Raw genomic sequence first — 27908 nt, forward strand, 5'->3', positions numbered from 1 at the left:
GATTTTGTGGCAGGCTCAAGAGGAAATGGAAGATTTTGACTGCTCATTCCTGAGCTAAGGAGAAGGCATTTAATGACTTACCTGTAGGGAACACTTAGTCTGCTCCCATCACAGATGCCTTCTCCAGAGCTTCCTTTTTCCTCATTCTTCTCCAGTGCTTTTTTTTTTTTTTTTTTTTTTTTTTTTTGAGACGGAGTTTCACTCTTGTTGCCCAGGCTAGAGTGCAATGGTGTGATCTCGGTTCACTGCAACCTCTACCTCCCAGGTTCAAGCAATTCTCCTGCCCCAGCCTCTAGAGTAGCTGGGATTACAGGCATGAGCCACCATGCTGGGCTAATTTTTGTATTTTTAGTAGAGACGAGGTTTCACCATGTCAGGGTGGACTTGACTCCTGACCTCAGGTGATCTGTCTGTCTCAGCCTCCCAAATTGCTGGGATTACAGGCTTGAGCCACCGCGCCTGGCTCCAGTGCATCTTGGCTTCCTCATCCATTTCAGTTTTCCATCCAAATTTCTGATTCTTTCTATCATCTGCCTCCTTCCATCACCTCAAATAACCAAGTCTCCCTTCTTCTTTGGGCTCTTCTGAAAACTTATGAGCAAAATTTGAAAGAGAATTAGATCAAGTTTGCCTCTGTCTCTCCCAACCTCAGTTGTAAGAATCACAAAGTCCCTTATAGTTAAAATCCACTCAGGCTAACAAAGCAGGGAAGTGGCCTTTGGTCTTTGGGTCTGTAGACATCGCTGAGGATGAACAACCACTCCACTGCCTATGCTTCTCATTATCCCTGTGTGCCTGAGGAAATGAGGCTTTTTAAAAATATACTAATTTGAGATCTCTGGAAAAATCTCGGTTTTTATTCCAGGTAATTTTATGACTCATTCAGGATAGTTATGTGGTTCATCAGACCTTTGAAACTAAAGACTGAAAGAATTAAACAAAACCAAACAAAATACTACAGACTTCGCAAACCTGAGAGCAATCTATGACATTTGAGAGAAGTAACTCAGTTATTTAAGCTTCACTGTTAATGTTGAAAATAAGAAGTAGCACGTGGTTATAATAAGCTTTGCCCTCTGAAAACTGTGGGAAGTGGCTGAGGCAGATATTTATTGGGTTGTCTCCCAAAACAGTGATTATCTCTTCTCCGATGATTACTCCACCGTGCCCCATAAGGGTAAGCTTGGGGCAGCCATATTTATGCAATGTGGGCTGGAGTGAATGCCTGGTTCAAGATGGGTCAGTCAGTGGCTCCTTCCTAAGACAATGGGAATGAAATCAAGAGGGACATTCAGTGTTTCTTCAGGTGGCTGCAAACTTGGGTTCTATTGGTAACCCTGTTCTCTGATGTGTGTACTTGAGAAGCAGGGCTAGTTTACAGAGAGATAGAGAGGGAGAGGGAGAGAGCATGTGGAACTGAGAGAGAACTTCCAGGTTTCCCCACAGCCTTCCACTTCCTGGCCCCAGTTCCTTTCTACATTTTTGCCAGGAGGTTCTGTGAAGCATCCCTCTGGCTTTATAATAAACTTCCCCTTGCTGGTTTGAATCGGTTTTTATCACTTGCAATCAAAAGAATCCTAATTGGTATAAGAGTGATATTTTCCTTCCAGGTATTTGATTAAAAATCACATGTATTAGAGACAAAATTTAAATATAAGCCTATCACTATAGAGGTACTAACAGAATCACTAACAGGAAGATTGGTCTAGAGATGCAGTGCTTTTAGGGGCCATCATTTAACACACGTGGAAACTGAGGCCCAGGAAGGCCACATCCCTTGCCAAGGTCAAGTCTGTGTCCGAACCAGGCCCCTAGACTTGACTCCAAGACCATTACTCTTCCCCTAATACTCATTCACTTTGATTGAAGTATTGTATTTACATTCACAACTTGTGCACTTTTAAAAATAGTCGATATAGTCCTGCATATTCTTATCTCCAATTTTTGCTTGAAAAGCTGAAACTTGAAGATGCTAAATGACATCAACAAGGCTACACACTAACAGAACTAGAACTAGAAGCTTTCCCCCAGGCAGAAGGTTTGCCCCAGGAGGCCAGATTTCTCCGTCCATGCATGCAGGTCGACATTGATGCGGTTAGATGAGCAGATCTATCAGGTAGAGTTTTTGGGGTGATTCATCTATTCAACAAACATTTATTGAGTACTTACTGAATTAAGGTGGGCATTGTTCCTGGGTCAGGAGATATGGTGAGGAATAAATTAGGTTGATTGGTCTTCTGAGTGTTTGTGAGCTTAAAGAGCTTTAAACCTAATATATGTATATGTGGGAGGGGGGGTCCACAGATGTTTGGGTTCTGGGTGGCAGTGAGAGATCCCCACTCAAGTGTAAGTTCCACGAAAGCAGAACTGGCTTATTTGACAGTGTCACCAGAATAAATAGCATGGTGCCCAAAGCATGGTAGAGTGAGTGAGGGAATGAATGTGACCGACCCAGAGAGCCAAGGAGGTGAACAACTACTACAGCACAGTGACTCTGAGTACAGAAGGCTCAATTATCCAGGCTCATCTCCTTATCTGTCTGTTTTTCCCAGTTGCTAGAGTGTGACTTCTTTGGAGTGAAGTTGTTTTGTTTGTTTATTTATTTTCTGAATTTCCAGCACACATCAGAGTGCGCTGGGGATACAGTCAAGGAAGCTCTTAATTGGGACATAAGAAGCAAGCTTCCTCAACATGGTAACTTTTAAACAAGTCTTGGCAAGGTGAGATGGAACTTGGGTAGTGTCTGCCAGAAATGGACAGTTGGGTTTGATCAGGTCTAAGGCAGTCTCTGTTTTGACCCAGATATTACAAAGTCCCTCCTCACGAAGATATGCACATGTGATTGTGGAAACAGTGGAATGTATCTGGGATTAGAATGAAATCTGCCAGCTGATGGAAGGAATATAAATACAGAAATGGGAACATGGGGGAAGGATGGTTCCATGGGTCCGAAGTCCTTTGAAGTGAGGGCTTTTTGGACTTGCCATGTTCTTGATTTAAAAATGTCACGGTTCCCCTTGGATTGCAAATATAATATCTGACCAACAGCAAAACCATTGTCATGGGTGCCTGCCTCTGTGTCATGTAAAAAAACAGTGAGATTTAACATGTATTTCTTCAATGGGTGTTGAGTGATAAATCATCCATTCGTCCATTTATTCAATGTATGATTTCTACATTTATCTGGTGCCTATATTATGGTGGGTCAGGCTATGGGCAGCTCAAAGATAAATTTACAGAGGACTATGCAATTAACAGCTTGTCAGCTCTGTGTACAAAACTGTTAGATTCTCTATCATTCTTGGCCATAGTGGTAAGAGGTAGCCTTTGGAAATTAAAAGGTACGAAACAAACTTTAGGCAATTGCAGTGATAACCCACCTGCAGCAGGATTTAAGTACCAGTCAGTTGGTCTGGGCCACGTTTCCAAAGTCACTAGGAGCCCTGAAAACCTCTGTATAATAAGGTAAGTTTTTCATTAAGCTATTTTTATTTTATGGTACAGGAAATTGGTTGAAGCTGTCAAAAAGAATCACTATTAAGCATGTTTTCTGGGGAGAAGAATTCTAGGACAGCTTATCAGAGGGGTCACCCCAGGAAAGGGGAGAGATGTCTGTCACAGCCTGATGGGTGGTGTCTCACCATTGATCTCTGGCAAGTTGTCCTGGAAAGGATGGTCAGAGTTCCAAAGTACAATATTATATTTCCAATTAAAATGTAAAAATAAACCTTTTTCATAAAACACATTGGCCTCGGCTCTGGAAAGCGACTACAAAGCCCAGTGCTTTGATTGAGACAAGCTGAAAGCAGACACTGTAATTGATAACGGAGATAAGTCAATCTGTGTCCTTTAGAGAATAATGAGTTCCATTTTTCATCAAAAAGATCTCCTTGTGCCGAAGAAACATACTTTCAATAAATCTACTTAATGGTTTCCCTCTAATGATATATAACATTGCTCTTTGGAACCGAGCGTTGCAGCGGGTCCCTGCCAACAACTGCAGGCCACCCATCATCTGCATTGGTAATTCAACCCAAAGAAAACCCAGGCGGTTCCCAGGAAGTGCTGCTGTGCAGGAGAAAATACCCGAAGGCCTTCCTGGACTCTGTGAGCAGGTAGAGAGGATGGGATTTGAATAAATAAGCTATCACTAAGCTTGAGCTCCTATGCAAATTTCCATTCCCTCGCCCCCACCACCATTGCTGTATTCATGGATATATCGGGTCTAAGGGTGACTTATCTAAGGATAAGCTGTGTCAGACAGCTCAAGAGTTAAATCCTTCAGATACGTGCGTCGTGAGAACTGATTAGCTGGGTTTGTTCCCGGAGCTCATTGCTCTCCTATAGACCTGACAGCCTTGGTGTAGTTTGATGTGGGCTGCCGGAGGGAGCCTGTGTTTATTGCATTGGGTAAACTGAAGATCCACTTCAATGATCCTGCCTGAAGCAGTCCCTCGCCCCATTTGAGGGTCTAAACCTCAGGTGGCGAAGGCCTAGCAGAAGGAAGGGCCTGCGCCCTTCAAAGGGAATGATTTAGGGCCATCTGCGCCCTGGTGTCAGGCAGCAGGACTGGGTTTCCATCCAGTTTACCTTTGTGAGCCCCAACTTTACAAATGTGCTGCTTTTTTTCGCAAGGACTCAGCTTTATGTAACATAACCTATTTCCTCCAAGGGCACCCAGCCCTCCCAATACTGACGGACTTCCCCACATGGGAATCATTAAAAACAACCCTAGAGTTATTTCCTTATGTTGCTGTTTGTTTATTCTCCAGTCGCGTGTGAGTCAGCCAGATCATGATTTGTGGTGGTTTTGCTTGTGAAATCTTACATAATTATATTCCTATTGTCATGTTGGGTCGAGCAGTTAGACCATGTAGTGTTTTCTCATTGCACAATGTTTGCAAATCAATAAGGAGAAAGCCTGAACAATGCGATGACGTTGGCCAGGAACCCGGCCCGAGTCACCCAGGAGGCGGCTCTGCAGTTTCTCAGGTACAGCCTATCCATTCTCTAATCCCACTGCTGGGCAGTGACTAGGCCGGGTGGTGGCCTTTCGGATGGGTTTCACGGAGGTGATATTTAAAAGATGAGAGTGAGAGAACAAAAGAACAACAACAGCGCTTCACACAGAAACCAACCACATTTTTACTGCATCTGCTCCACGCTGGATTCCAACATGCTGGCCCGGAGCGTGGCTGGCTGGAAGCAACTCCAACAGGTTTTTCCCTTCCCCGTCATGTACATTATTTATTTTTGATCCTACTCACTGTCCCAAGTCCAGAGGCAGTTACAAAAAACACTCTTGATGCAAACCGTGAGTGGCTACAACACACGGATGGGGGTGGGCGCGATTCCCACAACAGGGAGTGGAATCCGGGAAGATGATATATAGGGGCAAGACGCCCCCTTACTTGCTAAGAGTATATGGAGCTCAAAACCCACAATTGCTTTGTTTTGTTTCTCAGTTCCTGGAGTATGTTGAAACTACTTGCTCTTAACATTAGTTCGTATTTTTCATCAGATATCTGACCTGATTTAAAACATGTTTGTTTGCATACATCTTTTTGTAGTGCACCTTATAGTTATTCCTACTGATATAGGATGAAGATTATAAATATCTGCATAAAAAGAGAAACCATGTGACTCTATATGAAGACAACCATCACATTCCACAGCACATCATTGGTTCATTTTCGAATTGTCAAGCAGTATTTGAAATGAGAGAGAGAGAGAATATAACTGAACACAAGCACCACGACAAAACAATCATAACAACAGAACCAAACCCAACTTCTCTATTATTAATCATGTTAAAATTTTAGCTTTGTTTCTAACACTTTTCTTTACTTGTTATTTTAAGCTCCAGTAGCAGGATCAGATTTCTGCTGCCTCTAGGCAAATGAGTTATGATCTGATCTCGAGTTCCAAGGGAAATGCTCAAAGTTTTATTTTTCCCCAGTTGAATAAACAGTACCATGTATATTATCTCTCGTGTTAGAATAGTGTTGTCTTCACATAAGACTCAAATAATGGTATTAGTCATTCATTTCCCTGAACACAGACACCCTCATGCGTGCTGACAGGTTTATAAGGATGCGGTGGCAGCCGCGGGTTCTGGGAGCTGCTAGACGGCCGAGTTTGATTTCTTGCAGTCCTGAGCGATGGAGCCCGGGGGTGCCTGGTTATTGTCCGCTTTCTCTCTCAGATGCTTGGCTTGTCTGAAAGATTAATACATTAACAAGAGCTGAAGGCCTGGGGTTGCACATCTTCAGACATGTTTATTAGCAGATGGCACAGAGGATTCAAAGGTCACCACAAAAGTGACATTTTAAAGTGAAACAACAATATTTATGTTCAGATAGTCTACTGATGAGATCATGTGGAAATGTTTTTGATTAAATTAGCTTATAAATGGTTGACAATCTATAGACAACTTAAAATGCCATGTCTGTTTACCAAATGTTTTCTTCTCACGCTCTCACCTTCTAAATATTAACAACCAAATGCTGTTTTTTCTTATTAAAAATTTTTTGGAATGCTCATTTAACTGTAAGATCAGTGTATCTGGTTTTTACTTCCTGGGTTGACTATTTTTATTTTCTTTTAAACCTAAAAATGTTATCTCCTGCATGTGTTCTGAGATCCTACCTGCTATTATTACTGCTTGGAAAGAGGTTGAATTCTACTATATAAATATAACCCCTTTCCATTTTTTTTTTTTTTTTAGTATAAATTGAGTCTCTGGAGAGACCCCAAATTCAGTCTCTTTGGTGAGACCTTCTGTTCACATCTCATTAAAGCAAAGCTATGAGCTGGATTTCAGAAATAATTACGACAGCTGCATCTTTTGCCCGTGTAGCCCTTGGGAGCCACACTTTGTGGCAATGTGTGCTGGTGTTTCATAGAAAACAACACGGAAAACCGAATGCAGCCGAGGGGAGGGGCGCCTCCTCTCAACTTCTTTTTCTTTTCTCTCCGCTTTGCCCACAACTTAGCAGGAATGTGAGTGAAAACTTTCACCGCTGAAAATGGCTTAGCCAGACAATGCTCTACAGTATGAAGTGAAAAACAATGTTTTGTAAGTTTTACAAGTCTCTACAGTCAGGACAATGCACAAATATTTCCAACAAAGCAATGAAATGCAAAATCAGTGACCAATTAGTAGGTTAAAACTTTCACAGAAATATTACAGGAGATGTATATGGCCATATATACTGGTTTTCATTTCTTTACATTTAATTGTATTATTAATAATTGTGTAAGATGTAGATACTATTGTCGACTTTTTAAAACATTATTATCTATGTCTTATCTTTTGTACAGTTACAATTAAAAGTGTAAGAATACTGACAGGGGATTTACTCACTTTTCAAGAGAACCTTTTTCGATATTCATTGCTCCATCGATTGGATCCAGTCCTTGTTCAGAAAATTGTTTCAAGGCACTTAAGGCTGCCTAAAAATGAAAACAAACAGAGAGAGCCATTCACTGACTCTAGTGTAATGAACAAGTAACTGAAAGAAAGCTGAGATAGAAAGACTCATTTTCATTAGTCTACATAATTTTTTTTTGCATTGTTTAACAAAAGTACACTAGAAAGTCTGCATGATCAGGCAGCAGTGTATATACATAACCGGAACTAGAAGGGCTTTAAGTCTCCTGCCTTATCCCTTCTCCACAGTTTTGCAAAATTGTGATGTTTTATCTGCAAACATGGCAACACCTCATATAAGCTTAAAATACTTCCATGGTGACATTGCATAATTTCTCACGTTACTGAAACTACACATTCTCTTCTCTCAGGTGTGACATCCAAATTTTCCACCTTGAGTATTCTTTCCAAAGTAAGCATAAAGGTATTGTTCAAATTGATAGACACTTAGCCCCAGTCAAGGTACAGAATGTCAGCAGAGGAATGGACAGTAGGTCCTCATGCAGACTGAGGGGATGGATGGTAAGATGGGATCCTGAGAGGATGAGGAAAGAGAGAAAGTTTGGGCTGGTCATGTTCTGGGGAGGCAGGCCTGCCGGGCAGAGCCTCCCGAGGTGTTGATAGGCTCGGGGTGCGTGGGAAGCCGCAGGGTGTGAACAGGCTGGTGGAGCCTTGCTGTATAGCTGGGAGGCACCAAAAATGCCATGCTGATAAGATCTACATAACTTGTTGACACTCTTGTGCATGTTCCAAACTGTTATTTCTTTGAGTAAGAATTTGGGTCTTCCTCCCCTCCCCCAAGCCCGACACTGCTGAGTGAGATTGGAAGGGCTCTGCTGAGTCTGAGATGGGCATGAGCAGGCAGGGCTGTTTTCATCCTGGGGCATCCCGCTGGGTCACACTTGGGGCATCTGTGTCTTCTCAGCTGCCTTTGAAAACGAGCTAGCTCTTGGCGGTTTCCCAAACTTTTATCTGCCAAGAGCTCCTTTAGGGTAGCTGACTAAGTGCATGATTTCCTTTAAGTTTCTTTATTCAGAATATATTTTGGAGGTGTGATTCTTTTTTAGTTAATAGTCTTGTGAGGTTTACAGAAAACTTGGGCAGGTAGTACACAGAGTTCCCATATTCTTCCCTCCCCTAAATACGGTTTCCCCAATCATTAACATCTTGCATTGGTATGGTACATTTGTTATAGCTGATGAACAAATATTGATAGCTTATCATTAACTGAAGTCCATGGTTTACATAAGGGTTCACTCTGTGTGGTACATTCTGTGGGTTTCAACAAATGCCTAATGGCATTTATCCACCATTAGAGTATCATATAAAATAGTTCCACAGCCCTACAAATCCTCTGTGCCCCACCTATTCACCTCCCCCCACCCCCACCAGCCCCCTGGCAACCACCAATCTTTTTACCATCGCTACAGTTTTGCCATATAGCAGTTGGGATCATACAATATGTCACCTTTTCAGATTGGCTTTTTCACTTAGCAATGTATATTTGAAGCTCCTCTATGTCTTTTTTTTTTTTTTTTTTTGACTGAGTCTTACTCTGTCGCCCAGGCTGGAGTGCAGTGGCACGATCTGGGCTCACTGCAACCTCTGCCTCCTGGGTTCAAGTGATTCTACTGCCTCAGCCTCCCAAGTAGCTGGGACTGCAGGCCTGCACCACCACACCCAGCTAATTTTTGTATTTTTAGTAGAGACGGGGTTTCACCATGTTGGCCAGGCTGGTCTCGAACTCCTGACCTCGGGTGATCCACCCACCTTGGCCTCCCAAACTGCTGGGATTACAGGTGTGAGCCACTGCACCCGGCCCCTCTTTTTGTGAACGATATGGCTTTTCATAAATGAGCTTCGTAGCTCCTTTTTATTGCTGAATAATGTCCCATCGCATGGATGCACCACAGTTTGTCCGTTCACTTATTGAAGGACATCTTGATTGTTTCCAGTTTTTGGCAACTATGAATAAAACTGCTATAAACATCCATATGTGGAATTTAATGTGTAATATTCATAATACTTTTTTCTTTCTTCTCTCTTGCTTTTCTATTGTTGCTTTTTAATCACAAATCCTATATCCAAGCAAAAGTCGGCATGCGTCCTTTCTTTTTCTTTAGATTACTCCTTCCTTTCAAATCTTTAAATCAGGCTTCCTAGATCAGAGGTGCTAATGTGAGTGCCCATGCAGATCTGCAGCCCTGGCCCGGGCATCCCGAAGCAGGGAGGATGTGGTGCTCAAGTCTCAGTTATCATCATAATCTCTTTGGACCTGGAGTGCTGCAGGGAGAAGGTCAGTGATGCCACCCCATAGCTCCTGATCCTGGCCCATGCTCATGCTGGACAACAGCCAGGTGGGTTTTGATGGGAGGTAGGCGCTAACTTCAGTGGGGTGGGAGCTGTGTGGCCATCTCCCTGGATACTGTTATAGGTCGAATTGTGCTCTTCCCCCAAATTCATATGTTGAAGTCCTAACCCCCAGTATCTCAGAATGGGGCCTTATAGAATGTGGCCTTATTTAAAAATAGGATTAGTACAGATGTAATTAGTTAAGATGAGGTCATACTGGAGTAGGGTAGGTCCCTGATCCAATATAACTGGTATCCTTATAAAAAGAGGAAACTGGAACACAGACCCACACAGGGAGAACGCCACGTGAAGATGGTGGTAGGGGCTGGAGTGATGCCGCAGCAGCCAAGGAACACCAAAGATTGCCAGCAAAGCACTCGAAGTGAGGAGAGGGGCCTGGGACAGATTCTCCCTCACAGCCTTCAGAAGGAACCAGCCCTGCCAGCACCTTGATCTTGAACTTCTAGCCTCCAGAACTGTGAGACAATACACTCCTGTTGATGAAGCCACTCAGTTGGTAGTACTTTACTACAGCAGCTCCAGCAAACTGTACAGGGACCTCATAGCTTCTCTTTAAGGATAGCAAAATCTCTCTCTCTCTCTCTCTTCTCTCTCTCTCCCTGTATTATTTTTTGTTATAAAAATAGTTTTTTGTTACAGAAAAGTCAGAATATATAGACAAGCAAAAAGAATGTAAAAAGTATCCACAATCCTGCTCACCATTCACATCTTGGCGCACGTCTTTCCATATCACTTGTTTTTTTTCTCTCTTTTTTTTTGAGATGGAGTCTTACTCTGTCACCCAGGCTGGAGTGCAGTGGTGTGATCTTGACTCACTGCAACCTCCACTTCCTGGGTTCAAGCAATTCTTGCACCTCAGCCTCCTGAGTAGTTGGGATTACAGGCATGAGCCACCACACCCAGCTAATGTTTGTACTTTTAGTAGAGACAGGGTTGCACCATGTTGGCCAGGCTGGTCTTGAACTCCTAGCCTCAAGTGATCCACCTGCCCCAGCCTCCCAAAGTATTGGGATTACAGGCATGCGCCTCTGCCCCCAGCCTCCATATCACTTAGTATCCTCTCCCCATGTCTACAAACTGTAGCCTGGATCATGTCTTAACACTGTAGGTAACCTGCTTTTTTTTTTTTCAATGATAAATAATAATTGTACACATTCATGGGGTGGGTAACAATGTTGCAATACACATAATGCATAGTGATCAGATCAAGGTAATTAGTACATCAATCATCTCAAACATTTATCATTTCTTTTTGTTGGGTTCATACAATATTCTCCTTCTAGCTGCTTGAAACTATAGAACATATTACTGTTAACTATAGTCTTTCTACAGTGGTATAGAGCAATAGAACTTATTCCTCATATCTAGCTATAATTTTGTATCCTTTAATAAATTTCTCCCTATCCCTCTCTTCCCCCTACCCTTCCCAACCTCTAATATCCTCTGTTCTACTTTTTACTTCTGTAAGATCAACCTTTTTAGCTTCCACACATGAGCAAGAACAAGTGGTGTTTAACTTTCTGTGCCCTGCTCATTTCACTTCACATTCGCCCAGTTTCATCCACATGGCCATAAATGACAGGATTTCATTCTTTTTTTACGGCCGAGTAGTATTCCATTGTATACATATACCATGGTTTTTTGTCCGTTCATCTGTTGTGTGCTCTTTTCATTGAATGTGTGCAGTATCAACAGAAACATTTCGGTAGCATCATTTCTCATGACTGCACAGTATCCTATCGATATCCTGTGTGATACCAACACTGCATCAAATTTCCTATTGGTTCAATCTTTATGCATCATCTCAATACTTTCCTTATGATAAATTCCTAAAATTGCATTTCTGAGCCAAAGATGATGTCCATTTTTAAAGATTTTTTTTTTTTTTTTTTTGAGACAGAGTTTTGCTCTTGTTGCCCAGGCTGGAGTGCAATGGCGTGAACTCGGCCCACCACAACCTCTGCCTCCCGGGTTCAAGCGATTCTCCTGCCTCAGCCTCCCGAGTAGCTGGGATTACAGGCATGCACCACCACGCCAGATTACTTTTGTGTTTTTAGTAGAGATGGGGTTTCTCCATGTTGGTCAGGCTGGTCTCGAACTCCCGACCTCAGGTGACCCGCCTGCCTCAGCCTCCCAAAGTGCTAGGATTACATGCGTGAGCCACTGTGCCCAGCCTTAAAGATGTTAATATGAGCTCTCTATCCACCCTTGGAGAGGTTGTGCCGGCAGCAGCAGTGGGAGGAGGGTGTTACTCTAGGTGCTTCTGGAATTACCTCTCAGAACCATTTTGTGGGTCAGAGAAGCAAACCAGTTTTGTCATCTTTTGGCCCCACCTTATTTTAATGTGTTCATCCTGGTTGTTGACCTTCTTCACTAGACTTGGCTTTGTCTGAAGTTTTGCTGTTTTCAAAAATTAAACTCACCCTCAAAAGACTGAGGTTTGGACAGTTCTCCCCACCCTCCCTGCAAGAAAGGAATTCACAGAGGAATTTGACTCTCAGGGAGCTTTGATTCAGTGACTCTGAGGTCCTTTTAAGTCCTGAAGTGCTAAGGCGGCTATGCTGAGGGCAGTGCATGTGCCCACAGCCTGTGTCCATCAACCGGGGCCCACTGTCCCACCTCACACATGCGCGTGGGGCGCTAAAGGCCAGGCTCACTCACTTGTAGGCTCCAAGGACCAATCCATGCCAGACCTTTTTCCAGATATTCCCATTTTCACGGAGTGGGCTCATGAACTTCAAGTTCTTTGTATATTCAACAGTTTTAACAAAAGACCAGTTACTTTTCTTCTGAGCCATTAAAATGTGAATTATTGGCATAAATTCTGAAATTTATGAATTTCTTCCAAAGTGGACAATTACATTTGAAATTTTATTATTTTTTGTAACATAATGATAAATTATTTAACATTTTCTGTGATGACAACACCTGAAATATACTCTCAGAGCAATATCAAAATGTGCAGTACTCAACTGTTAGCTATATTCACCACACTGTGCAGTAGATGTCCAAAAAAATCAAACTTATCCTTTTTATCTGACTGAGACTTTGTACCCTTTGACTATCATTTTCCCATTCCACCTACCCCCAGCCTCTGTACCCACCACTGTACTCTCTGCTTCTGGGAGTTCAATTGTTTTATATCTCACATATAAATGAGAACATGTGGGATTTGTCTATGTTTGGCATATTTCACTTAGCATAATGTTCTCCAATTCTATCCATGTTGTTGCAAATGACATAATTTCTTCCTTTTTAAAAGCTGAACATATTCCATTGTGTCTATATACCACATTTTCTTTTTCCATTCATCCATTAATGGACATTTAGGTTGATCCCACATCTTTGCTATTGTGAATACTGTTGCAATAAACATGAGGGTGCAGATATCTCTTGACACACAAATTTCAAACTTTTTAGGTAAATACCCAGATGTGACAGTGCTGGATCCCAAAAGCACCATCACAGAGGGCTACTGAGAGCCAGGAAATGGAACTGTGCAATGTGATACTGCTGAATGGGGTTCCTACGAGCTCTAGGGCTTCTCGGTCCTGTTTTATTCCTAGCAAGGGCAAAACAACAACTAAAAACAATTTTTAAAAATCTTTTAAAAAATCGTTTTTAGGCTACTTATAGCCTGTTTTCACTAGGTACACTGGGAATACTTGGTTCTTAGTGTGGCCTGAACACCAGAACCAAATGACCTGCTTCACCCAGTCCAGGACCCATGGCACCTGCTCTCTTCCATCTGAAGAGAACTGCATATATGAGACGAAGGCCAGGTCTCAGGGAGCAGCTTCAGCGTTTTAGCTCTTGCAAAATCTCCTGGACGATTTTATCAACATGCCAGGCAGGTCCCCCGTGCACTGTCAAAATGATCGTCATCCCTCCAAGAATGTCCTAGAGTCTGGAATGGCGGCGTGCTCTCTCACTTGATGCCACGAATGGATTTTCAGAATTCTTGCGTGGCTGCTCTCCTCCACAGGTATGCTTAAAAGCTTCCAAGGGGCAGTCCCTTATCTACCTGATCAGATAACTCAACCCACATCTCACTGATAACCCTGAATACAATAGCTTATAAGTATGAGAGGGATTTCTTTTCAATTTATAAGAGGCAGTGGTGACCGATTTATCTTAACCTATGTAAACAGTAATAGCTACCATTCGATGAGCATCACTCCGCCATTGTCATGGGACTGGCCCTTTACCTGCCATGACCTGAGTTGTTATCACAGCCTTGTGAGATAGTTCCTACCCATAAGGAAACAGAGGCTCAGAGAATTCAGTAACCTACTTAAGGTCACACAGCTAATAAGTGGCAGAGCAGAGATTTGAAACCAATCTATATTCTTGCTCAGGTCTTTTTTTTTTTTTTTTTTTTTTTTTTTTTTTTTTTTTGAGGCAAAGTCTCACTCTGTTGCTCACGCTGGAGTGCAGTGGTGTGATCATGGCTCGCTGCAGCCTAGACCTCCCAAGCTCGAGTGATTCTCCCACCTCAGCCTCTCAAGCAGCTGGGACTACAGGCAGGCACCACCATACCTGGCTAAATTTTTTTTTTTATTTCTAGTAGGGACAAAGTCCTGCTATGTCACCAGGCTGGTCTCAAACTCCCAAGCTCAAGCAACCCTCCCGCCTTGGCCTTTCAAAGTGCTGGGATCACAGGCGTGGCTCATGTCTCTTTATTTCCTCCAAATTTAAAGCCGCTCACGTTCCAGATACCTGATTTCAGCAGAGTTTCTTTTAATATTAATATTTCAAAATCACTCATTACCTCTTCCACACTCATTCTATTGTTTCTCACAAATAATTACTTGAGGTAAGCTCATAAAATTATCTCCATTTTCTAGAAAAGGGGTTGATTGTTTTGTGGGGAGCACACAGTGTCCCGTCAGCAGTCCGCTTCCAGCCCTGGGTTGACTTCCGAGGCTTCGCTCAGCACTTCCGTAACACTTGCAATTTTGGCTAAAACTAAATTACTAATTATTTTGTCACTTGGGTTTTGTTACCCAGTGGCCAGAGACAAGACTACTGGATTCTCCATTTCTTCACATTCTGAGTATCTTGTTCCCTCCTCCATTTCTCTGAAAATTCTTTTTCATTTCTTACTTTCCTGTGGTTTCTAGCAGGAGGGAGAAGCCCCAGGGTTTTGCTGGGCTTGTGGCATGTAGGATGCTGCAGTGAGAAGAGGCACTGGGATTGCAAAGGTGAAGCGAATAAAAATCAAGGGTGAAGGGTTTAACTGTGATGTACAGATAGCAACAAGCTCAACATGTTCAGGAAAACAGAGTGGGCAGGGCCTGCCGACCAGGTACCCCTCTCACAGGTACGGACAGAACCCTCAGAGCGGCTGCCTCCCTGCTCACCATGAGCTCAAGGAATCAGGGCTCTCCTCTCACACTTCATCACCCCCTATTTTCCCAGAAACAACACTTTACAGATTAAAGAACGCTATGGAAAGAGATGAGTTTGCTTCTCTTTCTACAGGATCATGCCAATACCTGTAAGAGCCACACTACCTTTAGCAAGACCCAAGTATATACTGAAGCTGGCAAGCAGAGTGAGCTTTTGCTATCAGATTGATGATTTCAAAGAACATATAATGTAGTGGCTTTGTGAACAAACACTGAAATTTAACAGTCCACAAAAATGTTTTACTACATACCTCCAAACCTGTTCAGAAGATGGTAAAATCAACAATATCCTCATGTTTAAACTACTCTAACAGAATAAATTGTTAACTTGCTAGAGGCCAGTTGCTTTAAAAATTCAAAGCATTATAAATATGCTACATAATATTAAAAGACACTTTGGAATGAGAGAAAAAGCAAATAACCTTCATTTTGGAAGACATACTTGAAGCCTGATTAAGAAGCAAGCTCTAAACTTTGTATTTACTGAGTGGGTAAATTGATAACAAGGTGTTTAAATCCTACCATCTGCAGTTCACTTTCAACATGGACAATTTGCTGTGTAGTAAGTGTAAACTAATCTTGGGGAGTTGTGGGAAGAAGGCAAATCTGGGTTCCTTAATGAGGAACATCCTGAATGATGCTTAAATCCAAGCTGTGTAACTTCCCACACGCCGCAGATTAGAGAATTTCAAAGATACACTAACATAAGCATCCAGAACGCTCCATAAGTCTTTGGCCATAAACAAATGGACAACTAAATGATTTCATTTCCCAGCTCAGAAGATGTTTTCCTAGCAAATCAAAACAAACACATTTAGCATCTACTTGTATTTTACCACAGCCTACTAACTGGAATCTTAAACTCAGCTTTATGACAATTAATATGTTCCAGGATTTTAAAAAAAGAAATAAAAGGTACATCTAAAGCAATAAATGTAGCTTCCTTTGAAGGAGAAAAATTAAAGAAGCATTTTAGAGAAGTGGATGACATTTCCTTTCCTTATTCCTGTCTTTTCAGGTCAACACATATTCATTTGCATGTGACTGTGTGTGCGTATCTGTATGTGTGTCCGTCCCTTAGAGGAAAGCATCTGCATAGATACAAGAAATATTTTTGTCCCCCAAAGATTTTACAACTGTTTTGTGAGTAAAGCCCCACAGGTTTTAGAACAGGTGTCTCTACCATTTCATGTATCGCTTGTTTTGTACGTAGTTATAGCAATGGAGAAACATGATGCCAATAAGATACTTTTCATGCCTATTTGTTGGCCTTGGTTTGCGCACGCACGCCTGTGTGTGTGTGTGTGCTCACAGAATGGAGGTGAGTCCAGTCATGTCTGTAATTTCTAACTTTCCTGTTGTCAATTAGCAATTTGCAAATAGTGTTGAAACCAGCCCTGCTTCTTTCTTCAGGACTAAACAGTTTGTAACGACAATGTAGCAGCATTCGGCCATTCTCTGAGAGATAATGGCAGTCTTCATTAGCAACATGTGGGTATTAACTTATCCCCTTGTGACACGTAGTTCTTTGTGGAGTCTTTGAGCATTGATGTCCAATGGATCTTTTTATTTTGTCTTTTTCCATTTCAGTCTTTCCCCACTGACGTCATATTCTGGTTCCCAGAAATAGACAAGTAGTTCCCATTAAAGTCGATGGTAACAAAATATGTCTAAATGTGGCCTTCATTTTTTAAGTGTTCAAAGTTTGGTTTGTTTTGCCTTTTCTCCCTGAAAAGCTTGTTCATGTTGAACTCCTCCTGGGAGCTGATCTAACTGCTAGATTCACCTCAAAATGAACACAGTAGTCATATATGCAGTTAATTAAATCCGTCTCCTTTCACAAGGAAATGAGAGGTTTTGAATGTAAATGTCTTCATCTGCAGTTGAGTATTCTCCTAATTTCTCATCCCAGCAATCTCTGATACTGAATCTATATTAAATCATAAAAATAACTGAAAAACCAGAAGGTTCTTCAATAAGCTTGAAAGTTTATTGTCCAAAGTATGTCAATATTAATATTTCTAAGTTATCCTTTTCTTTCTTTGAAAGGTCTGTAATTAAATACTGTGTCTCTTTTTATATAAAATAAGAGAAACCAAAAAGACATTTGTATATTTCTAAACTTAAAACTTTACGATAGGCTCTTCAGTCTATTACATTTCAGATGAATCAATGATATGACTTTTTGTTAAATAAAAAAAGGATTATATTGAGCTTGAGTTAACCCACTTGCTGCCCTGTTTTCTAATAATTTCATTATAGCCTGCACTTTTTATTCATGCTTCCACGATCCTATCAGTTCAGGTAATTTCCATAAAATTGGTACTTTCTAAAACGGCTTACCCTTGGAACAAAGGAGCATCTGCCTGCTAAGGTGGTGGTTACTCATAAAAAAAATAGAGGAGTAGGTGGTCGGAGAGACACATAGATTTTAGACAGTTGCCTAAGATGAAGAACAGGTGTTTTCACTCTAGAATTTGGGGAATTCATTTAAAATCGAGCACTTAAATCACAGACCTAGCCACTGCCTTTATTTCTGCAGTCAAGCTCTTAGAAGGATGATGGTGTAGCTGCTAGCCTTGACAACAACGCAGAGTGGAACTGACAGCAGGAGTAACTGCACAGAATGTGTTCTGTGCTTAGAACAAATGTTGAGTGCAGAGTCCTCGCTACTAGGCCTTCCTCTAACCAGGCTGTTTTCCTAATATTATTCCTTTTCAAATTCCTGGGTTTTGTCATTTATTTATTTATTTATTTTTTGAGATGGAGTCTTGCTCTGTTGCCAGGCTGGAGTGCAATGGTGCAATCTCGGCTCACTGGAACCTCCGCCTCCCGGGTTCAAGCGATTCTCCTGCCTCAGCCTCCCAAGTAGCTGGGACTACAGGCACCCGCCACGACACCCAGCTAATTTTTTGTATTTTTAGTAGAGATGGGGTTTCACCATGTTGGCCAGGATGGTCTCGATCTCCTGACCTCATGATCCGCCCACCTCGGCCTCCCAAAGCGCTGGGATTAAAGGTGTGAGCCATCACGCCCCGCCTTTTTTTTTTTTTTTTTGACAGAGTCTGGCTCTGTTGCCCAGGCTAGAGTGCAGTGGCACAATATCAGCTCACTGCAATCTACGCTTCCCGGGTTCAAGCGATTCTTGTGCCTCAGCCTCCCGAGTAGCTGGGATTAGAGGCGTGCATCACTATGCCTGAGAAATTTTTGTGTTTTTAGCAGAGACATGGTTTCGCCATGTTGGCCAGGCTGGTCTCGAACTCCTGGGCTCTCAAGCGATCCATCTGCCCCAGCCGCCCAAAGTGTTGGGATTACAGGCGTGAGCCACCGTGCCTGGCCTATTTAATTATTTTTGATTCAACACAAAGTCCCCTTTGTCACGGGGCTTACTGAAACAGAGCTGCGGGCACATCCACCTGCTGCTGAGGCACGAGTCCACACGGCACGCTCACTCTGTGTGGCGGGCAGAATCGTAGCGCCCCAGATGCCCACGTCCTAATCCTCAGAGCCTGTGAACACATTACTTCCCATGGCAAAAGGGACTCTGTGCATGAGATGAAGGTATGAATGGTGACGTGGGAAGGTTAGCCTTGGGTTCTCCCGGGGTCCACTGCAATGACACAAGTGCTTAAAGTCAGAGAACATTTCCTGGCTGTGGTCAGAGAGAAAGATGTGGCTAGGGACAAAGGGTCCAAGAAAGGCAATGTTGCTGGTTTTGAAGATGGAGGAAGAGGGCTTTCAGCTTCTAGAGGCCACTCACATTCCTTGACTCAACACAAGGAATGTGAGTGGCCGGCCTCTAGACGCTGAAAAAGGAAAGGAGGTGGATTCTCCCCTAGAGCCTCCAAAAAGGCAGTGCTGACTCCTGATTTTAGCCCAGTGAGACACCTGTCTGACTTCTGGCCTACAGAATTCCAAGATCACACATTTGTGTTGTTTTAAGCCACTAGGTCTGTGGCAATTCGTTAAGGTAGCAAGAGAAAATGAATACACTCTCCCTGTCACCTGAACAAGGAAGGGAGAGGGCTTGGCATGTGGAGTCTGTTAGACTTGGATTAAAACTCCAGCTCTACTGCAGACCAGCTGTGTGTCCTTATGCAAGTCATTTTATCTCTCTGAGCCTCTTTTTCATCATTTGTAAGCTGAAGGCTACGTGACTGCACCGGATTATCTGAGAGGTGAATGCCTTGACCATAGTGGTGTTTAATAAATGAGGGCTTTCATTACACATCTTTCTCTCTTTTGCTCTCTCTTGAGTCCAACATCCAGTCATGAAATTCTTTACACTCCCTTTCTCACTCCATATTAATTTAAGTTCAATTTCCTTTGTATTTTTGTTCATTCCTTCAGCCCATTGCTCTCTCACTTGTCTTCCTAAGAGAATCCTATCATTAAGCCACTCTCTCAATCAAAAGCCATTAATAACTCCCGCCCCTAGAATCACATTCCATATCTTTGCCCCAGCATTCAAGGCCCCCATTGGCTGGCCCCATTCTACCTCACAACCTCATTGAGTGCCAGTCCATTTCCCAGAGTGTGAACCCCAACCCAGGAGACCAGTCCCTAGCCTCAGGAACACCTGGCAGATGTCAGCGTTATCCACACGCTCCCTGGCCAGCTGGTATGGAGATGCCCCCCCTGGACCTTCTGCCCTGCTGAGGTTGGTCTGCCCACTGTCTCCACACCTTCGCCCCTGCAGTCTTTTCTGCTTCTCCAGGTGGATGTCCCTAATTTCCCACCTGCCTCCCTCTGGGTTCCTAACAGTGCCTGCCATTTGCCTCTCTAAACTGTGAGTCACCTTTGATATGTTTGCGTCTTGTCTCCCAGGTAGCTGGTAAACCCTTGGCTGGTGGGGCCCCTTCCCTCTTTGAAATCTCCACAGTGTGTCCACAGAACATCCTCAAAAAATATTCCTCAGCTGATGACCCATCCACTTCCATCTGAAGTTCCCCCAGGAAGACAGGTGCTCGCAGACAGGGGTCTTATTCTGTTCTGTCTGTTCTCAGAGCCAGCATCTTGCCCTGGTTGGCTTTCCTCTCAGCAGGTAGCACTCCATATTTCTCTCCGCCTCTAACACACCCCTCAACCCCACCCTTGGGCTCTGCGGCCAAAATGCAAAGGGATAAAAAGTCCTAGGAAGCAGGACTGGGTTGTATCTATCTTGTCCGAGAGAAATGTTCCTGCCCCATAATTTACCTCCAAGGAATATGGATAATAGTTACTGTCTTTTTGAGATGTCAGTCATCTGAGATCTCAATCTTCTCTCATCTTCGAGGTCTGAAACAAGTGTTTTGCCCTCTTCAGGCCAGTCTGGGGTCTGCAAAGGAGATGCCTGGGAAACCTTATCTGGGAGGACTCCACAATTGGGGTTTTGCCTAAAACCTTGGTGGTGGCACATCCTGAACCAGAGGGACCTGAGGGAAGCACCTCTCGCCCGAGAGGAGCCTGGGTCTGTAGGGCAATCATGGCTGAGTTCTGCCTCCACCCCTCACCCCTCACCACTTGGAAGGTCTGTTTGAGATTTCTTGGTCCTTTGATATTCGACTCCAACAAAAATGTGAAGCATTCCTGCTGAACATGGGCACAGACAGCTCTACTTAGGAATTTCATTTTGGTTTGAGTAAGCAATTGATAAAACCTTACATTACGGTTATTTCATCATTTTTGCTGCACTTAGCATATTCCTGGATTGCATGTGGGAGGGCTGGGGAGAGGGGGTGATGGTCAAACAAGATAAGCTTTGAAGTTCTGTTTAATTCTGAATATTGGTTTTATTGAAATAGAGGCCCCAGCATAAAAGATGGTAAAGGCAGTTTCTCTCAGTGGGTGAGGGATGCAGTGAGCCTGACGTTTTTCTTGGGACATTTGGTGGCCATCCTAGTGGTGGGAGGACAGCAAAGACGGAGCTAGAACAGACCTTTGCTCCGTCCCAAATTTCTCTCCTTAACCTCCTCTTATACCTGATTTTACACGTATATTTATCTATTTATATTTTTCAGCTTTTAAAAATAAAAGTTCTAAACCTTTGCAAAAGTACAAAGGATAATAATACACTGAAGCTCCCTCATCCATCACCCAGATGAATTATCAGTATTTTGCCAATTTTTTATTTATTTATTTATTTATTTATTTATTTATTTTGAGACAGAGTCTTACTCTGTCACCCAGGCTGGAGTGCAGTGGCGCGATCTCGGCTCACTGCAACCTCCACCTCCTGGGTTCAAGCAATTCTCCCTCCTCAGCCTCCCAAGTAACTGAGATTACAGGCATGCACCACCACACCCAGCTGATTTTTGTATTTTCAGTAGAGACGGGTTTTCACCATGTTGGCCGGGCTGGTCTCAAACTCCTGACCTCAGGTGATCTGCCCGCCTCAACCTCCCAAAGTGCTGGGATTACAGGTGTCAGGCACCGTGCCTGGTCTATTTTGCCAATCTTGTTTCAGGTGTCTCACTCCATGTTTTTCCTGTAATATTCCAAATCAAATATCAGGTAAAGATACATGCCATTAACACACCTAACAATATTAACTCTAAATCCTTTATATCATCTAAATTCCTATGCGAACATTTCCTTGATAGTCTCAACAATGTCCTTTAAAGTCAGTTTTTGAATCTACATCCTGACAGTTCACACACTGTATTTGATTGATTGATCCTTTAAGATCTAGGAGTTCTGTTGTGGGCAGGATAAGGGCCCCCAAAGATGCCCATGTCCTAATCCATGTCACCTGTGGTATGTTACTTTACCTGGCAAGGCAACTTTGCAGATATCATCAGGTTAAGTACCTGGAGATGGGACAAGTAGCCAGGATTATACAGGTGGGCCCAATCTAATCACACAAGTGCTTAAAATTAAAGAACCTTTCCCAGCTGAGGACAGAGATAGAGACATGATGATCGGAGAAGGGTGTGAGGGATGGGTCATTACTGGCTCTGTACTTGGAGGAAGGGGCCATGAACCCAGGAATGCAGTGGCCACTAGAATCTGGAAAGGCAAGGAAACGGCTTCTCCCCTAGAGCCTCCAGAAAGGAACTCAGCCGTGGGGACACCTCAATAGCTCCAGCGAGTCCATGGGAGACTTCTGACCTATAGAACTGCAAGATCACACATTGCTGTTGGTTTAAACCACCATGTTTGTGGCAATTTGTCACCACAGTCATGGAAAAATGAATATACATCTTTTTAAGGGGGACTGAAAGTCACACTGAGGTGTAAGGTTGGTGATGGGCCCAGGGAAAGGTAAGGGTCTGGCTGAGATGCCTGGGGAGGGGAGGCTGGGCCTGAGAAGAGCGGCCCAGGTGCCAGGGGACCTTCGGTTGCCTCTGCCCACTCCTCACGGGCCAGTCAGGCAAGAAGAGAAGAGCTCGCCCTCCTGCTGCAGTGGCCTCTTCGCAGCAGGATCAGGCCACCTCCCACCTACACCCTTCAGCAGCCTCCCCTGCCCTTGGAAGGCAATCACGCACCATGCCCCCGTTACTCCTCCGCTCTGTGCTGGGCTCCTTTCTGTCCCTCTGCTGGGACAAGCTCCCTCCTGCCTCAGGGATTCCCGCTGGCTAGTCCCTCTGGCCATCCCTTCTCCACTGGCTGCTCATCAGCTCCAGGTCTCAGCTCCAGGGAGGCCTCCACTGACCACTCTGTCTAGAGTGTGCCCCCCAACAAATCACAGGACTGTGCTTATTTCCCTCATAGCACTTGTCTCAGTCTGTCATTATTTCTGAAGGAAGGGGCTGGCCTGTCTGACTCACTACTGGGGTATGGCCATGCATTCAACAAACACTCATGGAGAACCAGGCACCACGCTGGGCGCTAACAGACAGTCATCACCTTTCCATGGCATGTGTCCCAGCAGGGAGACAGGCAGGACAGCGACGGCAGTGGAACCAGACAGCTGTGAGGAAAGGACATACAGCAATGACACCAAGAGGTGGTGCTCAAGTCACCCTGGAGGAAATGGAGGTGTCCCAGAGAGGCAGCATTTGGGGTGAGCCACAGGGAGCTGGGGCGCAAAGCCACTCAGATTGGCTGCAGCCACCAGGGCGAGTGGGAATCCAGGACACCGTGAGTGTCCCAGGCAGTTTCAAAGCTGTGGTGCAGTAAAGGGCAATGCCTTATTCTGGGGAAGGCTGGGCCAAGCCCAGGGAGTGGAAGCTGCAGGCAAACGGATTCGGGCTCAAAACAGGAAGGAATCTTGTGTCCAGCGAGGGCAAGCTAGATGCTAAGACTGGGTGACGCCTACTACCTTGGGCCAAATGTCAGATGGGAGGCAGGTGGCTGTGTAGGCCTCTCATCTTTCAGGCTCCCTGATACTCAGGGTTAGGCCCGCTAACGGGGACAAGGCCACATAGGTAAACAGCACCAGCAAATTTGCAACGTGAGAAGGGCTATCAGAGAGGTGGCGTTCAGAACTACCTAATGTGTGGGGAGCTTGATTTGCTGGTAAAAGCTGTCTTCCTTCCCGCTGTTAGGAGGACACATTTGGACCTGACCTTCACCACTGGTCATGTGAGAAAGCCTCTATACCTGGTTCCTCAACGTCTCCGTTTAGAAGACTGCATCAGCAAAACCATCCTACCATGGGAATTAACTGATGGATGTGTCTGGACTTCCCAGGGGGTTCTCCATGGACAGTATTGTGCTGGTAAATATTTAACAACTGACTCTTCGTGGGGAGAAAATCACTAAGTGTAGCATCTGTTAACACCTCCACCCTGGCTGATGCGCAGTTGGGAAGACATGTGCACAGCTGGCACCGTGAGCTGGCAGGAGCTGCTCCAGCACCCGCATTGCATGCAAAAGTCAAGCACTATCTCCAGCTCCCTGAATCCTGTGTGAAGGCAGGACAGCAAGCTGGTTAAGAGGCTAAGATTTGACTGGGCATGGTGGCTCATGCCTGTAATCCCAGCACTTTGGGAGGCCGAGGCGGGCAGATCACTTGAGGTGAGGAGTTCGAGACCAGCCTGGCCAACATGGTGAAACCCCATCTCTACTGAAAAATACAAAAATTAGCCTCACATGGGGGTGCACGCCTGTAATCCCAGCTACTCAAGAGCCTGAGGCAGGAGAATTGCTTGAACCCGGGAGGTAGAGGCCGCAGTGACAGGGGTGGGAAAGAGGCTGAGATTCGCAGCTGAACAAACTTGGGCTCAATGAGCAGCTCCAACTCTTACCGGTCATATGACCTTGAGCAAGTACAAATCTCAATTAGTAAATAGGAAAGCATCTTCTGCTGATGAAGCATTCATTCTGTTCTAAGGACTTGCCATCTCCTAACTCACTTAATCTTCACAGTAACCACAACAGGTTGGTTTGACTCTCATTCGCAGTTAAAGACGAGGAGACGGAGACCTAGAGGAAGTCATTTGTACAAGGCCATATGGCTTGCTCCTGATAGATCTGGAATTTGGACTCAGGCAGCCTGGTTCTGGAGCTGAATTCTGAACTACCTATATCATCCCACCTCAGTCCAGTGAGAGAACGTGTCACCTGAGTGCTCAAGATACATCAAGAGCCCGACCATGTCCTGGAGCCTCTTAAGAGCGAAGCTCAGGGTGCAGGACCTGAGAGGGTGTTAATCAGCCGCTTCCATTTTTTTCTTAATATGGGAAGACCAGATTTTGCTTGGCTTCTGGAAACCGCTGCCATCTTGCTTTTCCTCCTACTTCAGCTCTTGGTCTCCTGTGCAGCTGGCTTTTCCTTCTTCCTGACTTTTCAAGCCCATCCTTGGACCTCTTATCTTCTCCATCAAAATTCTCTCCCTGGATGATTTCACTGAGGCCGATGGCTTAAATCCCTTAGAAATACTGATAGCTCCAAATCCCTATCTTTAGCCTGGCCTCCTGCCCTAGAATTCACTTGTCTAAGTGCCTAGTGGATTTCTCCACTTAGATGTCTCATAAGCATTTCAAACCTGCCCAAAACGAAACTTGATTACCATCCCCAAACCACTCTTCCCTAAGAAAATGGTGTCCCCGTTCCACCAGTTGCTCAGGCAAAAACCCTAGCAATCAGCCTCACTTGCTTTCATTCTCTCTCATCTCCCACATCAAACCCATTAGCAAATTCTGTTGGTTCTTTTTTGAAATGTACTCGGAGGCTACTTCTCACCACATGCTCTGCTATGGTTCTAGCCCAAGCCACTGTCAGTCTCTCCCAGAGACACAAGCTGTACCTTCCTAACTCGCACCCCTGTGTGCATCCCTGTGTGCATCCCTGCTCACCCAAAGCCAACCCTTTGCATATAACCAGAGTGATTTTTTTGAAATGTAAATAAGAACCGGTCACCACCCTATTCAAATCCTCCAGGGGCTTCTCATTTCTCTTAGAACAAAACCCAGACTCCTGACTACAGCCCCAAAGCCCTACATGATCCTGCCCCATTTACAGCTCCAGGCTCATTACCTACCTCGTGCTCCCAGCCCACGGATCATCGCCTACCACATGCTCCCAGCCCCCGGATCTCCAGCACATCAGCCTCTTGGCTCTTCTTAGAACTCCCTGAATTCACTCCTGTCTCAAGGACTTTCCTGTGCTTTTCCTTAGACAGGAGACACCCCTCCCAGTTCACATGGCTCACTCGCTTCATCCAGGTCTCTTCTCCAGTGTCCCCTCCTTGTGACCCCTGGATCTAAAGGAGTTGAACCACCCCACTCCTACCCTTATATTCTCATAGCTCCTCACGCTGCCTCACTTTTAGCAAGATTTCATTAAAATTTTATTGCTGTCTAAAATTCTATTATATATTTAACCATTTACTTGTTTAGTATCTGTGTCTTCCATTAGCAAGTAAGTTCTGGCCAGGCGTGGTGGCTCACACCTGTAATCCCAGCACTTTGGGAGGCTGAGGCAGGCAGATCACCTGAGGTCAGGAGTTTGAGACCAGCCTGGTCAACGTGGTGAAACCCTGTCTCTACTAAAAATACAAAAATTTGCCGGGTGTGGTGGCATGCACCTGTAATCTCAGCTACTCGGGAGGCTGAGGCAGGAGAATCGCTTGAACCTGGGAGGTGGAGGCTGCAGTGAGCCAAAAGAAAGAAAGAAAGTAAGTTCCATGAAGGCAGAAATTTTCTGCTTTATTCATTGCTGAATACTCAACATCTAGAATTGTAGACCCTCCATAGACACTTATTGGCTGAATGACTGAAAGAATGAATGAGTGGTTAGAAACAGTACCCATGTGGAAGAATATATAGCCACCTCTTACACACAGTTTCATTAATTCTCAGAAGTTTTCTATGGCAATTAGGGAGCAGATTATTTCGCCCGTTTATTGAAACCCAGAACTAACGATTGATGTTTAAAGACTAATCCGTCTGGAGTAAGTAGCTGCTGAATGTTGGCCGTTCAAATGAAGTAAGTTAAGTATTATGTGTCTCTAATGTATTTTAAACTTGTTTTATGTCAATTATATTATCACAACTTTGGAAGAAACTTTATTAGGACAAACTTTAATATTTTTTTCTAGAAAGTATTTTTTTTAAACTAACACAAATGCAAAGTCACTGTAAAGTTCAAGAAGTAAACGATATCTTCTTTTAGTTACAGCTGAAAGGAAAGCACATCACTAATAATACCAAACTTGGTTTGGCAATTTTTAGAAACCCCATTTAGGCCAGGCGCAGTGGCTCACACCTGTAATCCCAGCACTTTGGGAGGCCGAGGTGGGCGGATCACGAGGTCAGGAGATCGAGATCATCCTGGCGAACATGGTGAAACCCCTTCTCTACTAAAAATACAAAAAATTAGCTGGGTGTGGTGGCGGGTGCCTGTAGTCTCAGCTACTCGGGAGGCTGAGGCAGGAGAATGGTGTGAACTTGGAAGGTGGAGCTTGCAGTGAGGCGAGATTGCACCACTGCGCTCCAGCCTGGGCGACAGAGCGAGACTCCGTCTCAAAAAAAAAAAAAAAAAAAAAATTAAAAAGTAATGTTTAAAGTCTATACTTAAAATAACCATTTCAAAGAAAAAGCTAGTATCCTGATTTCTGCAAAATATCCTCATTAAGACAATTTAACCATACGAAGAGATTTACTCTGTGTTTGAATAATATGGTCACAAGTGGTCTCCCTTACCTACCTCCACCCCTAAATGAGAAGAAATTTAGTATACTCATGGGGATATGAGTTAGGCCTGCCAAATACTTTTGGAAAAAATTCTGCTAAATTGTTTCTAGAAACTGCTAGTACTGTTAAGAGGGTTGACACATTCTAATATAGCCAAACACAGTTTTTTCTAATTGCTTGGCTGCAAATGAACTTGTAAGGTTAAAAGTATAAGAATTTATTCCATGATCAGTGATGGAATCCTAATCCATCTTAAGTTGCGTGCATGACAACTGGCATTTCCTAATATGTATTACGAGACAGAGAATTTTTTAAAATTTTTGCCTGAGGGTACATTCCCTTTCAAAAGCAGAAGATTTTCTTCTTTTGCTTTCTCAAGATATCACGCTAAACTTCATTCTTGATGGTTCATCGATTAAGGAAGCAAGATAGAAAGGAGAATCCATGATAGATTTATAAATTTGGGGCAAAATGTAACACAAAGCATTCCAATACGCAACTTCAAATCAAAACCTCAACTTGGGCAAGGGATGTTATATCAACCAACAGCATTCTTTAGAAATGCCTGACATTCAATTGGATAGAATTATATATTGAAATAGATTGTAGGCATATTGCGAATGTTTTTCCTCT

The 27908-nt window shown here is 43.8% G+C and overlaps 1 protein-coding gene and 1 long non-coding RNA gene across 5 annotated transcripts in view; one reads left to right on the forward strand and one right to left on the reverse strand.

Moving 5' to 3' along the window:
* The first annotated feature begins 4826 nt into the window (after positions 1-4826).
* Positions 4827-26271, forward strand: STAU2-AS1 (STAU2 antisense RNA 1). The gene is made up of 3 exons (NR_038406.1): positions 4827-4992; positions 23685-23857; positions 24543-26271. It is a non-coding gene; the product is annotated as an STAU2 antisense RNA 1 (long non-coding RNA).
* The window catches only part of STAU2 (staufen double-stranded RNA binding protein 2), a 327112-nt gene continuing 304325 nt past the window's right edge, over positions 5122-27908 (reverse strand). For all 4 annotated transcript variants that reach the window (NM_001164383.2, NM_001164382.2, NM_001164381.2 and 1 more), the window contains 2 exons: positions 7367-7455; positions 5122-6218 (listed from right to left, as the gene is read on the reverse strand). In NM_001164383.2, coding sequence (NP_001157855.1) covers positions 6125-6218; positions 7367-7455 — 183 coding nt within the window. In that variant the 3' untranslated portion in view covers positions 5122-6124. The remainder of the gene's footprint in view (positions 6219-7366; positions 7456-27908) is intronic.

The sequence above is a fragment of the Homo sapiens genome, chromosome 8 (assembly GCF_000001405.40).
Source record: "Homo sapiens chromosome 8, GRCh38.p14 Primary Assembly".
Lineage (NCBI taxonomy): Eukaryota > Metazoa > Chordata > Mammalia > Primates > Hominidae > Homo > Homo sapiens.